General features: G+C 35.9%; 1 annotated feature.

Annotated features, from left to right (window-relative positions):
* Positions 16,915-18,114: an enhancer, noted in NCBI's record as "CDK7 strongly-dependent group 2 enhancer chr9:29439922-29441121 (GRCh37/hg19 assembly coordinates)". NCBI's record gives its function as "activates an origin of replication core promoter dependent on BRD2, BRD4, P300/CBP, MED14 and CDK7 cofactors, with strong dependence on CDK7, by STARR-seq in HCT116 cells {active_cell/tissue: HCT116}" and the evidence as "EXISTENCE:reporter gene assay evidence [ECO:0000049][PMID:35650434]".

The raw sequence follows: 18,114 nt of genomic DNA on the forward strand, positions 1-18,114 counted from the left end.
GGAGCCTTGATATTTTGTCATAGAATGTCCCTGCGGAAATCAGCTGGAAAAAATGGGGAGGAGGCTTTAATTGGCACTCAGATTTTTAACATAGCTATACTTACTTCCCTTAGGGAAGTATTGGATGAGAGGCTGCCTATCAAGTCTTGGTTTGAATATGGTTAGCTTTCCAGTCTTCAATTGTGGAAACTCACTGACAATCCAGCTGGGAAGCAATAGCTTACCTACTGCTATGGGCTATGTTGGTTGCACAGTTTTTAAATGGTTTTGAAGTAAACATCAAAGAACAAAGAAAAAAGTCATGGTAATAAAATAAAAGCTACTCTTCACATTGGAAATATGTACTAAGCCATGTGGCATCTAGGGTTGAGAATAGATAAATCCTAAACCAAGGTAATAAACCTTATGCTTGTACATATTCTTAGTGTGTCACAAGAGTAGATTTTGGATAACAGGAGTTTGTGTTTAAAAATTTAAAGATATCAAAAAACAATATTGACTTTATAGCTATAAATGTACTCTCATTCTACCTTTGTTTATCTTTCTTAATTATGTCTGTTTGCTTATTCTTTGAAAGGTGATATTTTTGTGTTTGAAGTGTTTTTTATTCTAATAGTCTAACTGTATTTCCTGAAATTTCTCAATTGAAAAGAATATGGTCAAGAATTGATAGGCAGATTTTTCTAATATCCATGTTTGTGCATATGAATATGGGGAAAGCAGGTACTATTATTAATAGAAAACCACTATTCTTAGTACTGACAAATTTATAGTTTACCTTTTTGCTCCTATTATTTCCTCTCTTTCTTTTCTGAATCTCATGTTCTTTTTCTCTTACTTTGCTGCTCACGTGTTTTGTGTAAATTGTGGGATGGTTCAAGAAGGCTAGTGCCCAAAATAATAAAGGCAAGTATGTGGCAGCTAGGGAGTTTACAGAGTGTCATTCCCAATTTGTTTGAGTGCTTAATAATAGAATAATAGTTAGTCTTCAATATTGAAAAGACATGAAACACTGGTAGATACATGATCCACATAACTTCAAACCCAAACCTTGAAAAGTATATGTTTAACAATCAAGTTCACATATGGGAAGGACTACTGATACTTTGGAGAAATGAGTAGGGTAAGTAGAAGCATCACTGCCAATGTATGCCCATAATGCTAAATATAAAGAGATACAGGACATGGCATAGAACAAGGACAAGGGACAAAAGAAATGAGTTAAAATCACCCTTTTCACTTAGAAGTAGTCAACATCCCTGCAGAAACGATTTTAAAATTTTTCTCTGCTAATAAAAAAAAAATCCAAGGAGTTGTCTTAGATTGTCCAATGAAATGCTCAGAGCAGGAAAATTGCAAGCCGGAAGGAGAAGTCTGTGGTTTGCAAATGCTCACCTATTGTCTGTGGCATTTAGTGTTCGGTACACTGGCCAAGTTTCATAGAATGAGAATTATCATGATTTCATGTAATATTGTAAATAGTATGCTACTTCTGCCCTTATCTCCTTCTCTTTCACTGTCTGCTCCTTCCTATGCAACTATGTATATATTTGAATAAATTTTCACTCCAATGGTAGCATATACAAGCTGAATCTTAGCATGCATGTCAGGAAAACCATCCATGGAGTAAAGGTGAGGGCAGAAAGATGGTATCCACAGAATGGCTATAAAGATGTCTCTATGGTCTTAGTACCTGGATTCCAGTCTTCAGTGGACATGGGGCCACATTAATAACCTTACTGGACAAATAATCTCACACCATGACTTTCCATACCATCAGATAGTCTTACTCAAGCCAATATATTTGTCCTCTGCATAGAATACTTTGTGCATGAAAAGGCTATTCTCTGAGGAACAGCACTGAAGAAAGAATATCTTAAAAAAAGAAATATCAAGATTTGATTGAGAGAGTAGGCATTAAATTCTAGGATTTCTAAGTACAGGTAAATGTAAGTTGAAGGCCTTATTAACTCAAGGAAACCTAGGGAATTAGAGATGTCCTGAAGATTCGTTAAAGTATATTAAATAATGTTTTCATTAAATTATGATAAAATAGAATAATTTTTTAAATTTAGAGCTTGAAAAATAGTCATTTAATCTGTTTATTGGAATTCAATATTAGTTATCTGGTAAGTATTTCTGAGTAACAGAAATCTTTAGTGGTAAAATCAATGAAGAGACTGAAATTGACAGAATGACTATGGGAGAGTGAAAAATGCTTAAAATAAATTTTGGAAGGATATAGATAGAGGACTTCTGCTTTAGATTAGGTTGTTAAAGGATTCAAAATATTCTAATCCATTATATAAGAACAAAAACGGCAACAAAATATTTTTATATGAGACTAATAAGAGCAATGCATTCAAGGAAGCTTTAATGAACTAAATTCCACAGAAAAACAAAACTCCTTATGGAATAGCAGAGAATTGCAGTGGTGTCTCTGGAAATGTGCAGAGGAAGTAATGGACATGTCATAAAAGGGGAAACTTTAGAAGGACAGGCTATATTCACTGAATACTGAATGGCATTATGATAGGATAGAGTATAATCCTGAAGATCCCCCAAAGCAAAAGCGTATCATTAGACCTAACAATTCACATGACACTGTCACTTTTGCCTTTCACTCTGAAAGCAACAGTGGAGAAGGGATTGGAGAATGGAGAGAAATAATGTTGTCTTGGGCTTTCTCATTGTACTTGGATTCTGAGGCTCTGAATTAAATCTAAATGTGATCCAAAATTATAGGAAACTTCAGCCCCAATTTCTCCCAAATGAAATAATGACAAGATAAAACAGAAGCACAGCCACAGGAGGTAGTACGTCAGGCTAATGAGAGGTGAACTCAGCCTAGTTAAAATTGTTCCTGTTGTCATCTCAACTTGATGGGAGGGAGAAACCCTTCCTTATACACAAATATAGGGAAATGAATTGTCTTGTAACAAAACAATTAAAATATTAACATATTTCTGTCTTTTCAATTTTACAACATGTATAGAATAATCTAAGAACAAAAAGATGTATGAAGATTTATGAAAACTATGACCCAAATAAGAGAAAACACCATTATTAGAAGGCTACTCAGAGACGAACCATTCTGGAGTTAGCATACAGAACCCTTAAAATAGTTATTTTTAGTTTTGTTAAAAATGGCAGTAAAATATATAAGTAAAAATGAGTAAAATCAATACAGAAATGAAAATTCTAAAAATAGAATTAAAAATTCTATAACTGAATAAGACAATATCTGATACCAGAAATGTACTGGATGGGCTTAAAAGCAAACTGGAGAAAGACTAAGTAAGGATTGCTGAACTTGAAAGTAGGCCAATAGAAGTTATCAAAACTGCAATATATAGACAAAAATAATTTTTAAAAATTGATCACAATCTGTGGGATAGTAGTAAGCAGCCTAATATACATAATATTGGAGTCTCATAATGAGAAGTATGAGAGAGAATAAGCAGACTCTCTTTAAATATAAGTATCATTTTCTTCTCCAAATTTGAGGGAAAATATTAGCTCACCTATCCAAGAACTCAGAGCTTATCAATTAGGTTAAATATCCATAATAACCAAACAGTTGAAAACCAACAGTAAAAAGAAAAGACTACAAACAAACAAACAAAAAGCATCCAGAGAAAAAGACAGATTAAATACCAGCGACAACCAACATGAATTTTAGGTAGCTCCTCATTAAAACAAAGAAAGACAGGAAATAATAAAAAAATTTTAAATTGCTGAAAGAAAAAAATATATTTTAAATTCTTAATCCAGTGAAAATATACTTTACAAGTAAAAGCAAATAGAAAAATATTTATATTTTTTAAAAAGGTAAGAGAATGTGTATCAAGCTTACCTGGGCTATATAAAATGCTGAAAGAAATTCTTGAAGCTAAAGCAAAAAAGTAACAGATAGAAAATGGTATCTCACTGCAAGGTTACGGAGTGAAAAATTGTAAGATTTGTGCAAATATAAAGAAGTACCATTCACTCTTAAGAATTTCCGTGCCTTTTTGCTAAGGATTGTCTTGGTTATACAGGCTCTTTTTTGGTTCCATATGAAATTTAAAGTAGTTTTTTCTAATTCTGTGAGGAAAGTCAGTGGTAGCTTGAGGGGGATAGCATTGAATGTATAAATTACTTTGGGCAGTATGGCCATTTTCACGATATTGATTCTTCCTATCCATGAGCATGGAATGTTTTTCCATTTGTTTGTGTCCTCTCTTATTTCCTTAAGCAGTGGTTTATAGTTCTCCTTGAAGAGGTCCTTCACATCCCCTGTAAGTTGTATTCCTAGATATTTTATTCTTTTTGTAGTAATTGTGAATGGGAGTTCACTCATGATTTAGCTCTCTCTTTATCTATTATTGGTGTATAGGAATGCTTGTGATTTTTGCACATTGATTTTGTATCCTGAGACTTTGCTAAAGTTGCTTATCAGCTTAAGGAGATTTTGGGCTAAGACGATGGAGTTTTCTAAATATACAATCATGTCATCTGCAAACAAAGACAATTTGACTTCCTCTCTTTCTATTTGGATATCCTTTATTTCTTCTCTAGCCTGATTGGTCTGGCCAGAACTTCCAGTACTATGTTGAATAGGAGTGGTGAGAGAGGGCAACTACTTGTCTTGTGCCACTTTTCAAAGGGAATGCTTCCAGTTTTTGCCCATTCAGTATGATATTGGGTGTGGGTTTGTCATTAATAGCTCTTATTATTTTCAGAACAAAGCTGGAGGCATCATGCTACCTGACTTCAAACTATACTACAAGGCTAGAGTAACCAAAACAGCATGGTACTGGTACCAAAACAGATATATAGACTAATGGAACAGAATAGAGGACTCAGAAATAATGCCACGCATCTACAACCATCTGATTTTTGACAAACCTGACAAAAACAAACAATGGGGAAAGAATTTCCTATTTAATAAATGGTGTTTGGAAAACTGGCTAGCCATATGCAGAAAACTGAAACTGGACCCCTTCCTTACACCTTATACAAAACTTAACTCAAGATGGATTCAGACTTAAACGTAAGACCTAAAACCATAAAAGAACTAGAAGAAAACCTAGGCAATATCATTCAGGCATAGGTACGGGCAAAGACTTCATGACCAAAACACCGAAAGCAACGGCAACAAAAGCCAAAATTAACCAATGGGATCTAATTAAACCAAAGAGCTTCTGCACAGGAAAAGAAACTATCATCAGAGTGAACAGGCAACCTAAAGAATGGGAAAAAAATTTTGTAATCTATCCATCTGACAAAGGGCTAATATCCAGAATCTACAAGGAACTTAAACAAATTGAAAAGAAAAAAACAAACAACCCCCAAAAAACTGGGTGAAGGATATGAACAGATACTCCTCAAAAGAAGACATTTAGGCAGCCAACAGACATATGAAAAAAAGCTCATCATCAATGGTAATTAGAGAAATCCAAATCAAAACTACAATAAATATCATCTCACATCAGTTAGAATGTCGATCATTAAAAAGTTAGGAAACAACAGATGCTAGAGAGGATGTGGAGAAGTAGGAATTCCTTTACACTGCTGGTGGGAGTGTAAATTAGCTTAATTATTGTGGAAGACAGTGTGGTGATTCCTGAAGGATCTTGAACCAGAAATGCCATTTGACCCAGCAATCCCATTACTGGTTATATACCCAAAGGATTATAAATCATTCTACTATAAAGACATGTGCATTCTACTATAAAGACATGTGTATGTTTATTGCAGCACTATTTACAATAGCAAAGACTTGGAACCAACCCAAATGCCCATCAATGATAGACTGGATAAAGAAAACGTGGCACATAAACACCATGGAATACTATGCAGCCATAAAAAAGAATGAGTTCATGTCCTTTGCAGGGACATGGATGAAGCTGGAAACCATCATTCTTAGCAAACTAACACAGGAACAGAAAACCAAACACTGCATGTTCTCACTCATAAGTGGGAGTTGAACAATGAGAACACATGGACACAGGGAGGGGAACATCACACACTGGGGCCTGTTGGGGGATGGGGTCTAGGAGAGGGATAGCATTAGGAGAAATATCTAATGTAGATGACAGGTTGATGGGTGCAGCAAACCACTATGGCACGTGTATACCTTTGTAACAAACCTGCACATCCTGCACATGTATGCCAAAACTTAAAGTATGATAATAATAATGAAAGAATGTCCGTGCCTATAATCCCAGCTGCTCAGGAAGCTGAGGCATGAAGAATCGCTTAAACCTGGGAGGTAGAAGTTGCAGTGAGCTAAAATTGCCACTGCACTCCAGCCTGGGAGACACGGTGAAACTCCGTCTCAGAAAAAAAATAAATAAATAAAAGAATTTATTTTAAAGAAAATTAACTATTTAAAGCACTAAATACGTAGAAGTAAAGAATATGACAATAACATAAAGGATATTATGTGGTTCAACTAAAATACACTGTCGTAAGGTTTTATTACATTGATGTAAAGTAGTGTAATATTACTTCAGGGCATACTCATAAATTGAAAAGAAATGTTTTAATTATGATGGTGGTCACTGCAAATTTACAAACCGGTGCAGCTCAAAAGCCAATAAGAAATATACATGAATCATTTTTACAGATTACTCAATGCAAAAGAAGGAAGACAAAGAGGGAAAAAGAAACAAAGCACGGAAGGGATAGATAGAAATCAATTAGTAAGATGGCCAACGTAAGTTCAACAATATTACAAATTACATTAAATATAAGTGACCTAATCAATTATGTTCAAAGATAGAGATTGTCAGATACAATCTTTTTATCTGATACAAAGCAAGATTCTACTGTATGGCATTGGAAAAAAGTTTTTTTTCTAAATATAAAAGGATAAGTTGGTTAAAAGTAGAAAGATTTTTAAAAACATGAAAATGATACTCATTATAATATGATTATGTTAATATTAGATACAGCAGTCCTCAAGTAAGTGTTACCAGAGGAAAAGATATCTCATGATAGCAAAAGAGGTGCTTGATTAAGAAAACAGTAGATTCTAAATGTATAGACCTTTTATTACAGCCATTCAAGGTAAATAAAGCAAAGTTTAACACATATAAAAAGAAATAAACTCAAATACAATTGTATTTAGAGATTTTAATATTTCTTCCCAATAATTGAAAGGATAGATAAAATATACTAGTATGAATATGAGAGATTTAAATAACATTGTGACTATAATAATCTATTATATATTTTGAAACTCCACACTCAAAAAAGGCAGAACATACATTCTTTTCAAATGCAAATAAGATGCTTTTTAAGGTAGATAATATGCTAGGTCATGGAATACATCTCAATAAATGTCAAATGACTGAAATCATAGAGTATGTGTTCTGACCACAGTGAAACTTCTAAAATTGTACATATTTAGGGTGTATAACATGCTGTTTTGAGACACATAATACATAATTAAATGATTACTATAGTTAAACCAAATAACATATTCATCATCTCATAATCACCTTTTTTTTGTGTGTGGTAAGAGCACCTAAAACCTACTCTTCAGTATACAGTGCAATATTATTAACTATATTCCTTATGCTGTACATTAGATGAATAGACTTACTCATTCTACATAACTGCAACTTTGTAGCCTTTGACCTACATCTCCTCATCTTCCGCCTGACTCCCACCCCATGAACTGGTCACCGTGTTCTAGTCTCTGCTTCTATGTATTTGATTTTCTTTTAGATTTCATATATAGATGAGATCATGCAGTGTTTTTCTTTTGTCTAGCATATTTCACTTGGCAGAATGTCCTACAGTTTCATCCATGTTGTCACAAATGGCAGGATCTCCTTGTTTAAGTCTGAATAATATTTTTGTGTGTGTGAGTGTGTGTATACACCTGTGCATCTCACAAATTCTTTATCCATTCATTCATTGACCAACACCTAAGTTGCTGCCATATCTTGGCAGTTGTGAATAATGCTGCAATGAACATGGTAGTATGGTTATCTCTAAGAGGTACTGATTACTTTTCCTATGGGTGTATACCCAGAAGAGGAATTGCTGGGGTCATATTGTAGCTCTATTTTTAATTTTTTAAGGAAGTGTTTTCCATAATGGTTACACCAATTTACATTCACACCAACAGAGTAAAGGTTCCCCTTTTTCCCACACACTTGCCAATACTTGTTGCCTCATGTCTTTCTGATAATAGCCATTCTAACAGGTGTGAGGTGATATCCCATTGTGGTTGTGATTTGCATTTCCCTGATGATTAGTAATCTCGAGCATTTTTATATGCCTGTTTACTGTTTCTATTTTCTATTTGGAGAAATGTCTACTTAGGTTCTTTGCTAATTTTTAAATCTTTTCTTGTGTCTTTTGCTATTTGGTTGTTTGTGTTTCTTTTATATTTTGGATATTAACCCTTTATTAGCTATATGGTTCATGAATATTTTCTCCCAATCCATAGAGTGCCTTTTCATTTTGCAGATTATTTCCTTTCCTGTGAAGTAACTTTTTAGTTTGATGTAGTCCCACTTATTTTTTGTTGTTGTTGTTGTTGCCTGAACTTTTTATGTGAAATCCAAAAAAAAAAAAAAAAAATCACTGCTAAGACCAGTGTCAAGAAAATTTTCCCCTATGTTTTCTCCCAGGAGTTTTATGGCTTCAGGTTTTACGTTTGGGTCTTTAATTCATTTTGAGTTGATTTATTGTATGTGGTATATGATAAGTGTCCAATTCACTATTTTGCATGTGAATATCCAGTTTTACCAACACCATATACTGAATTTCACTGTAATTTTTAACAAAACTAAAATAGTTATTCTAAAGGTTCTGTATACTAGTTCCAGAACTGACCATCTCTGAGTGGACTTCTATTAATTTATTTCCCTTAATTTTGGGTCATACCTTTTCCCCACTGTCTTCCTATGGCTCTTGTCAAAAATTATTTGACCATGTATTCTTGGGTTCATTTCTGAGCTCTCTATTGGTCTATGTGTGTGTTTTATACCAGCACCATGCTGTTGTGATTATTATAGTTCTGTTTATTATTATTTAAAACCTTTATGGGTACATAGTAGGTGCATATATTTGTGGGATACATGAGATGTTTCAATAAAGGCATGCAATGTGAAATAAACAGATCATGGAGAAAGGAGTATCCATTCCCTCAGGCATTTATCCCTTAAGTACAAACAATCCAATTACAATTCTTTAGTTATTTTAAAATGTACAATAAAGTTATTATTGAATATAAACACCCCATTGTGTGATGAAACAGTATGTCATATTCATTCTTTCTAATCTTTTTTGTATGCATTAACCATTCCCACCTCCTGACCAGCCCCCTATTATCCTTTCCAGCCTCTGGTAAACATCCTTCTACTCTCTATGTCCATGAGCTCAATTGCTTTGATTTTTAGATCCCACAAATAAATGAGTGCATGCAGTGTTTGTCTTTCTGTGCCTGGCTTATTTCACTCAACATAATGAACTTCAGTTCCATCCATGTTGCTGGAAACAACAGGATCTCATTCTTTTTAATGGCTGAATAGCACTCCTTGTGTATATGTCCCACATTAAAATATGTATATTTGTCTGTTAATGAACACTTGGTTTGCTTCCAAATCTTAGCTACTGTGAACAGTGCTGCAAAAAACATAAGAGTGAAGATATCTCTTCAATATACTGATTTCCTTTCTTTTGGGTATATACCCGGCAGTGGGATTGCTGGATCATTTGGTAGCTCTATATTTAGTTTTTTGAGGCACCTCCAAACTGTTCTCCATAGTAGTTGTACTCTAAACTGTTCTGCACAATCTTTGTACTAATTTATATTCCCATCAACAGTGTACAAGTGTTCCCTTTTCTCCACATCCTTGCCAGCATTTTTTATTGCCTGTTTTTTGGATATAAGCCATTTTAACTCGAGAGAGATAATATCTCATTGTAGTCTTGACTTGCATGTCTGAGGTTGAATGCCTGTTTGCCATTTGTATGTCTTCTTTTGAGAAATGTCTATTCAAATATTTTGCCCAGTTTTTGATCAAATTATTAGATTTTTTCCTATGGAATTGTTTCAGCTCCTTAAATATTCTGGTTATTAATCCCTTGTCAGATGGTGTATTAGTCCATTCTCACACTGCTATAAAGAACTGCCCAAGACTGGGTAGTTGATAAAAGAAAGAGGTTTAATTGACTCGTAGTTCTGCATTGCTGGGGAGGCCTCAGGAAACTTACAATCATGACAGAAGGTGAAAGGGAAGCAAGGTAGCTTCTTCACAAGGTGACAGGAGGAAGAAGTGCTAGTAGGGGAAATGCCAGTTGCTTATAAAACCATCACATCTCATGAGAACTCACTCACAATCATGAGAACAACGTAGGGGAAACTGCACCCATGATCCAATCACTTGCCACTGGGTCCCTCCCACTATATGTAGGGATTATGGGAACCACAATTCAAGATGAGATTTGGGTGGGGACACAGCCAAATCATATCAGATGAGTACTTTACAAATATTTTATTCCATTATGTGGGTTGTCTCTTCACTTTGTTGATTGTTTCCAAGTTACTATAGTTTTGTAGATATAATTTGATATCAGAAATGTGATGCATCAAACTTTGTTATTCTTTCTAAGGATTGGTTTGGCTATTTGAGGCCTTTTTTGGTTGAATACAAATTTAGGAATTGCTGCTTCTATTTCTGTAAAATATATCATTGAAATTTTGATAGGGATTGTATTGAATTGCATATAACTTTGGTTAGCACAGGAAGATCGTTCACCTCATTAGTTAAATTTATTGCTAAGTACTTTATTTTTTTCTATACTACCATAAGTGAGATCGTTTTCCTGAATTCTTTTTTCGGATACATTGCTATTTGTGTAAATAACTGCAACTGATTTTTGTTTGCTGCTTTTGTATCATGTCATGAATTGATTTTAAAATTAGTAACATTAACATATCCTAAAAATTCCCCAAATGTTTGGAAAACAGACAACGTATTTCTAAATAGCCACTGTGCCAAAGAAATCACAAGGAAATTTTAAAAGTATTTCTAATTGAATGATAAATAAAACAACATATGAAATTTGTGGGTTACTGCTAAGAGATTTCTTAGAGAGAAATGCATTACATGTGTATATTAGAAAAGAAGATAGGTTGATATTCATTGATCTAAGATCAAAGAATAGAGAAAATAAAGAACAAATTAGGGAATGTGGAAAGAGGTTTTAGTGTGGGCAAATAGTTGAGGGAGGGGACTCCATATGAGTATTCACAAGCTGGATAAGGACAGCTGGCTTGATTTCTTGATTTGACACTCATCCAATACAATTCCCCCCGCTTTCAATCTGCCTTTCTCTCTCAACCCCCCTCCCTCACTTCAAGCACATTCTTTGTTTGGTGAGCCATATAGGGTATGGTAGCTATAAGATCTCCAAACCCAAGTTAAACTGAGTGTGCTTTAACATCAGAGTACCCAGAAAATCTGGTTTATTTAAAAATCTTAGCTGCGATCAATCTGCTATAAATCTCAGGAATATTAGATCCGGAGAACTGGCATGAAATACCAGAGAAGAGGAAGTGTTCTTTTAAAATGATGTAAAATGCCAGGCACATGGCTGACTCCTATAATCCCAACACTTAGAGACGGAAACAGGAGAATCACTTGAGGCTGGGAGTTTGGAACCAGCCTGGGCAATGTAGGAAGATCTTATCTCTACAAAAATACAAAAACTAGCTGGGTGTGGTGTCACATATCTGTGGCCCTAGCTACTTCAAAGGCTGGGGTAGGAAGATCACCTGAACCCAGGAGTTGGAGGCTACAGTAAGCTATGATCCTACCACTGCACTCCAGCCTGGTGACAGAGTGATACCCTGTCTCCCTCTGCCCCTCACAAAAAGATTTTAAGTCCTCATGAAATATGGAAATATGTATAAATGGACTATATCCTAGCAGTAACACTCTATGGAATCTACTTTTTAAAGCAAGAGACCCCAAGGAAAGGCTATAAGGTAGCTTTTGAAACTGACTCTCAACCAGCGGTCTCCAACCTTTTTGGCACCAGGGACCAGTTTCATGGAAGACAATTTTTCCATGGATGGTGGTAGTGGAGGGTCGGCGGGTGATTTGGGGATGAAACTGTTCCACTTCAGATCATCAGGCATTAGTTAGATTCTCATAGGGAGCATGCAACCTAGATCCCTTGCATACTCAGTTCACAATAGGGTTCCTACCCCTATGAGAAAATCTAATGCCTCTGCTGATTTAACAGCAGATAGAGCTCAGGTGGTAATGCTTCCTTGCCCACTGCTCACCTCCTGCTGTGCGGCCCAGTTTCTAATGGCATGAGCCAGTACTAGTCCATGGCAGGGGTATGGGGACCCCTGCTCTAAACAATAATGCTAATTTAACGACTACTTTCTGTTAGTCTCTCTTTGTATTATCATCTAATTATATTCATTTTCAAAACAGTGTGTTTCAATATTCTGGATTCCTACTCAGATTTTCCATTGTCTAGTAGTCACCAGTGATTACTCAGAAAACAATGATCCATGGATTGGAAATGAGGGAAGAAAGCTGGTAGCTGGGAAATTAAACAGAGTGACATTTCCTAGAGACTGGTATTCAAGAGCTTTTCTGTGTTGTCCATGTAGCTGCTCCATGCTTTCCTGAGATAATTACTTCAATCCCCTGCTTTTCTAATAAGACTCTTGGGCCTATATTTTTTTTATGCTTAAGCCCTGCATTGTGAACAGGATTTTTAATGTTAAGAGGAATTTCATCAAGAAACCTTATTCCAGAGAAAAACCCCAAATAAATCTGTTCAAGTTTTGTTGGAGAGAAAAATAAATTTCTGAGCACTCAAATGTGTGCAAAAATTAATAACAATTTTGGACTGTCTGCAAATAAGGGACATTATGGAAAGAGGGTAAACACTTATAGGTATGGGAACCAGGAAACCCACCCACAGTCCATTATGTACACATGCAGATCCATTTGCTAACTAGACAGAGGAGGAAAGCTTAGCTACCTGCTAGAGCTGTATGTAGCAGACTTGGCAGACGTTGTTTACTTGCAATACAAGCCAGAGAAAGGGGAACACAAAAGGAGAGCCCATTCATTCCACAGTGTCACATTATGTTGAATGATGAATGTAAACCTTTCTAGTGTACCATAAAATATTAACAAACTTATAGTAATGGATTTTCATAATAGACATCTTCTAAGAGAAAATAAGCCTAACAAAAAATAACACAATGTTGCAGGAGGATCTGAGATGTCGTAGATGTCTTAGTAGGAAGTAGGAGTTGTAAATAGGAGCATATTTTCTTATAATAAACAGAAGGTGCCTATCTCTAGTATAGTTGAGCTGTGCTTCCCACTCGTATATATTTTTCATTTTTGTTTTGTTTTGTTTACCTGCAAGAGACAGGGGAAGCATACATTTCAGAAATGATATCACATTTTTGGTGTTTTTGTTTCCCCTTTATAGTAAGAGATAGTGTCAGTATTGATGTCTTTCTTGTATTATTTCTGTTTCTTGCTTTTACCCTTTCCTGGATTTGTGATGAGTTTGTTCAGTTAGTGCTAGTTATATGGTAAATATTTTACTCCACGGGCTGTATAATCATGGAAAAAATGTGTGTGGTGTTGTTATTAAGTGAATTTTAATCAGGAATGTCAGGATTTGAAGCAGAGTGAGAATAGGATGAAAAGATATGAGGAGGACCCAGATTCCAGTTCCTCTATGGTCTGGATGACCAGGCACCGCTCAGTACTGAAAAGAGAAACTTCATTTCGCCCTTCTCTGACCTACTCTGTTTCTGCACTGGGCAGATGGCTTTGTCCATTGTCTACATTAGTATTTCGTGCTATTTTTTTGTGGCTATTAGGGGTTTCAATCTGAAGATGAGGACATTAATTTAGAGGACATGATTTCAAGTGAATTCCCCAAGATCTGGGGATAATAAATGTACATATGCATTTTATTAAGCTTTAGAATTTCTTAGCTAATATGAACAAAAGTGTCTTAATTATGTGAGATAGACTAGAGATTGAGGAAATATGCTTAAGTAAACTTTTTCAAGTTTCTTAAGAAAAGGAAAAGTAAACTTAAATAATTGCTTTTTAGGAGATAAGTCTGTGTATCAAAAAATGTACAGGTAATTAGAAAACCTTGCGAAAACATTTCAAACTCTAAAACGTTATTTGCGACTTTTTTTTGTCCTCTGTGCCTTAGTTTTGCAGTTTATAAAATGGAATAAATATTGTTTCCTTCATAAAGTTACATTATGGATTGAACAAAACAATGCTTGTAAACTACTTGGAGTGCCTGGCAGTGGGCACAGACTCAGTAAATGTAAGTATAGTCATTTTTTATTATGCTTCCTAAAGAAATATAGACCCTGGGAAGATTACAAAGATAAAATATTAAGAAAATAAAACTGTACCATATTTAGTATACATGCATCCTAAAATAATATGTTAGAGAAGATATAATAAATATTATGTTGAAGTTGAACTAATTAGGCAAGTGGAAATTCTTGTCAGTATATTTGAAACCTGTGGAAAAATATATAGGAAGTGGTTTCTTCTTGAAATACTAAGCTGACACTCCTTCTCCCCCTCTGCAATACACACACAGAGATGTAGTTATTGACAGGAAGAGTGATGAAACTCAAGAAGAAAAGTCACAGGTGAACAGTGACAATGAGACTCCTTCTGGGCCGGACGCACTGAGATGCATCACCCACTGATCACTGAAGCATCAAAGGAGGATGTTTTTCTTCTTGCATCAGGGACTAATCCTTTACCTCTCTGGCCCTGCAGCTTCTCTTTGTCAGTGTCACTGTCTGTTAGTGTTTCGATGTGACCTTTATCATTCCCTAACTCTCCCTCCCTTTCCTACTGTCTTTATTTTTATCTGATAATTTCCTTTTGGTTATGTTTAAGATAAATTTTTGGGTCCATTACAATTTTGTATTTTTTCAACATTAGAAATTAAGCTATGCAAGGCAACAAGTTAAGGAAAATTCAATGAAGACTCCAGAATGCCTATGGCAAGAAATAAACGTGTTGTTGACTGAGGAATATTCCGGCTCCACTAAACACTATTCCAGAGTGTTTCTAAAAGGGAAAAGGCTGACATGGAATGAGCTGTGTCTCAGGAGCAAATAGGTGAGACAGCCAATATGGTCTTGCAAGACATCTCCTAGAATGCATAGAGAGGAAAGCCTGTGCCAAAGCTTCTCTCTGTGACTAGAATTCAGTCACAAATTAGATTCCATATTACTGTGTACCATGAGCAAGACTCCAAATGCTGTCTTTCAAGATTGCATTAGAAAGGAAGAAAACTGGCCGGTGTGTTTGCTCACGCCTGAAATCCCAGCATTTTGGGAGGCCGAGGTGGGCGGATCACCTGAGATCAGGATTTTGAGACCAGTCTGACGAACATGGAGAAACCTTGTCTCTACTAAAAATACAAAATTAGCCGGGCATGGTGGCGGGTGCCTGTAACCCCAGCTACTCGGGAGGCTGAGGCAGGAGAATCGCTTGAACCTGGGAGGTGGAGGTTGCAGTGAGCCAAGATTGTGCCATAGCACTCCAGCCTGGGCAACAAGAGAAAAACCCCATCACAAACAAACAAACAAACAAAAGAAAGGAAGAAAACTATCAGTCTAGAACTAAATCTGGTAACTAAAATTTATTCTAAAATGTCTATAGAGATGTAATTTTTCAACCAGGGACAAAAGTTTCTATCCTAAAATGTTCATAAAACTAGTGGCATGAAGTACGGCATCCATAACTATAAAATCTCTTTCTCTTTCATTTTGTGTTGTGAATATTGCTCTCTTTCTGCTTGTGAAAATTTCACTTCACTGGTTTCCTATTGAAGTTAAACTTAAGTGGGGTGCTCACTTGTAGGTTCGATTGGAAGAAAATTTCATGTATTGGGAAGGATGACAGGAGCTCAGTGAATGATAAGGGGCACAAATTATGGTCTTTAGTAGAAAGCCTGTCTCTTCATTTCCTCTTCAGGACTTCCAACATCCCTACATTATCATTTTATATACATGTTAGGAGTTCAAGTCTGATAGAATAAAAGTGAATTTTTAGATTCTTGAATTATAGTATTTCTAAATGATCATTAAAAGGTAAATAATTACCAATTTTGGGAAGAATAGAAATAAGGGAAATATATTTGAGACCAGATGGAGTATAATAGCAATCAGTATTCTTTATAGACATAGATAGCAGGTCTTGATAAGCAGTGAGATGCGGCTAAGCCTGTTGCTTCACCTGTTTCTGTGAGAGTTGGGCCCCTTGCAATAAACGTTCCATGTATAGAAGACACAACAACCTTTCAGGACACACTGATGACTGAGAAATAGCATGTAAGAAAGGGGAGAGCCCCATTTAGTGTTAGAATCATGCAACCCAACAAACATTTTTTCCTTAAAAAAATAATCCTGAAGCAGTAACTGGGGCACTCAGAACAACCTGGGACAGAAAAATCATTTGTTATGGTAGTAGAACGGATATTTGAAAATATTGCATGGGTGTTGTAAGGCAAATATGTCTGAATTTGAAAATAATTCTGCTGTCAAATTTTGATGAAATACAAGACAAATAAAATGGATAGGGAATGATGAACTAATAATCACTCAAGTCTCATTCAAATACTAATGAAGGAAGTACGTTCATGCTAGCAAACTTCTAAGTTTTCTCCATCCATTTCCTGGGTTAGACCAGAGGAGTGGCCGATCCAGAAGCTATGTTATTAAAGAGAACCCCTGTGAACTGCATCAAGGTAGAATTAAAGGCCAGAGATATGGTGTTAAATGTCAGCGGTATTACAAGGGGGTGCACTATGAAAGGGGGTTGAATCTGAGCTTTGTAGGGGAGCAAATTAGTGTCACAGAATATTTCATGAATTTTTTCAATTCCTGGAAATTAAATATGGGAATTTAAACTGATGTCAAAGAAGTCTCAAACAATCCCCATGTTCTAAAGAAAGCCTAAAGTAATTGGGACCAGTCATCTTCTCAGGACTTAGTCAGACTGGGTCAGATTAACTCTTCCACTCAAACTGTCGGGTTTTATGTCCTTTACCCTGCTTACATGAGATAACTAATGAGTCATCAGATTTTTCAGAGAACCTGTTTGAAGTCCTCTGGAAGAGTCAAGAAGGGAGTGAGTGGCTTGCGATACCCTTTCCTGCTGTGAGAGAGGAAGAGCCTGTTTCCCACCCACAAGCTGAGTGAATGTGGTTCTGAGAAAATGGTTTAAGAGATGAAGAATGTCTGAAAGAAAGGGAGACTGACATTTAGTTTCTCTTTGGAAGTGTTCTTAGGAAGTGATGTGCTGATCTGACTGACATATATACCTTTTGGGACAGCCCTGTAGCAGTCAGCCTGGTGATGCAAAAACATGCGCGGTTTTGTGGGTCCATTGGATCTTGGAAGAAGGTGACCTTGAGCTGGTCTGCAGGCTCCTCACCCAGGAAGACTGTTTCTTGAGATAACAGTTCTGTCAGAGACATTTGAACCAGAACGACTCTATCTCGATTAGGGCCTTGGTAAAATGCGAGTGAGACTTACTGGTATATGCATTCCCAAGAGTTTAGGCATTCTTAGTCACAGGGTATTTACAGTTAAGGAAGCAAGTTAATAATGTTTACTGAAGAGACCCTGGACTTAACAGACCCAGCCAATTTCACACCCAGGAAATGTCCTGATGCCCTGATATCTTAAGAACAAATGCATTCTTAGCCTAAGAATCTTTCGTTTTAAAGATAATCATACAGATTCTTACAGAAGACAGTGGTTACACAAAGATTAACAATCCTTTGTCACAAACCCTTGCAGTGGAGCACATCTCCCCCATGATTTTTTGCTCTGTTATCTTATATATAAACAAGCATTGTACCTAAGGTGCATTCATTCCTCCTCCTGCTTTTGGGAATGACCTTCTCTGTCTATGGAGCAGCCATTCATTCATTCCTTTACTTTCTTAGTAAACGTGTTGTCACTTTATTCTGTGGATTCACCTTGAATTCTTTCTTGCACAAGATCTGAGAACTGTCTCTTGGGGTCTGGACTGCGATGCCTATCTGGTAACAGTTCCA

The sequence above is a fragment of the Homo sapiens genome, chromosome 9 (genome assembly GCF_000001405.40).
Source record: "Homo sapiens chromosome 9, GRCh38.p14 Primary Assembly".
Lineage (NCBI taxonomy): Eukaryota > Metazoa > Chordata > Mammalia > Primates > Hominidae > Homo > Homo sapiens.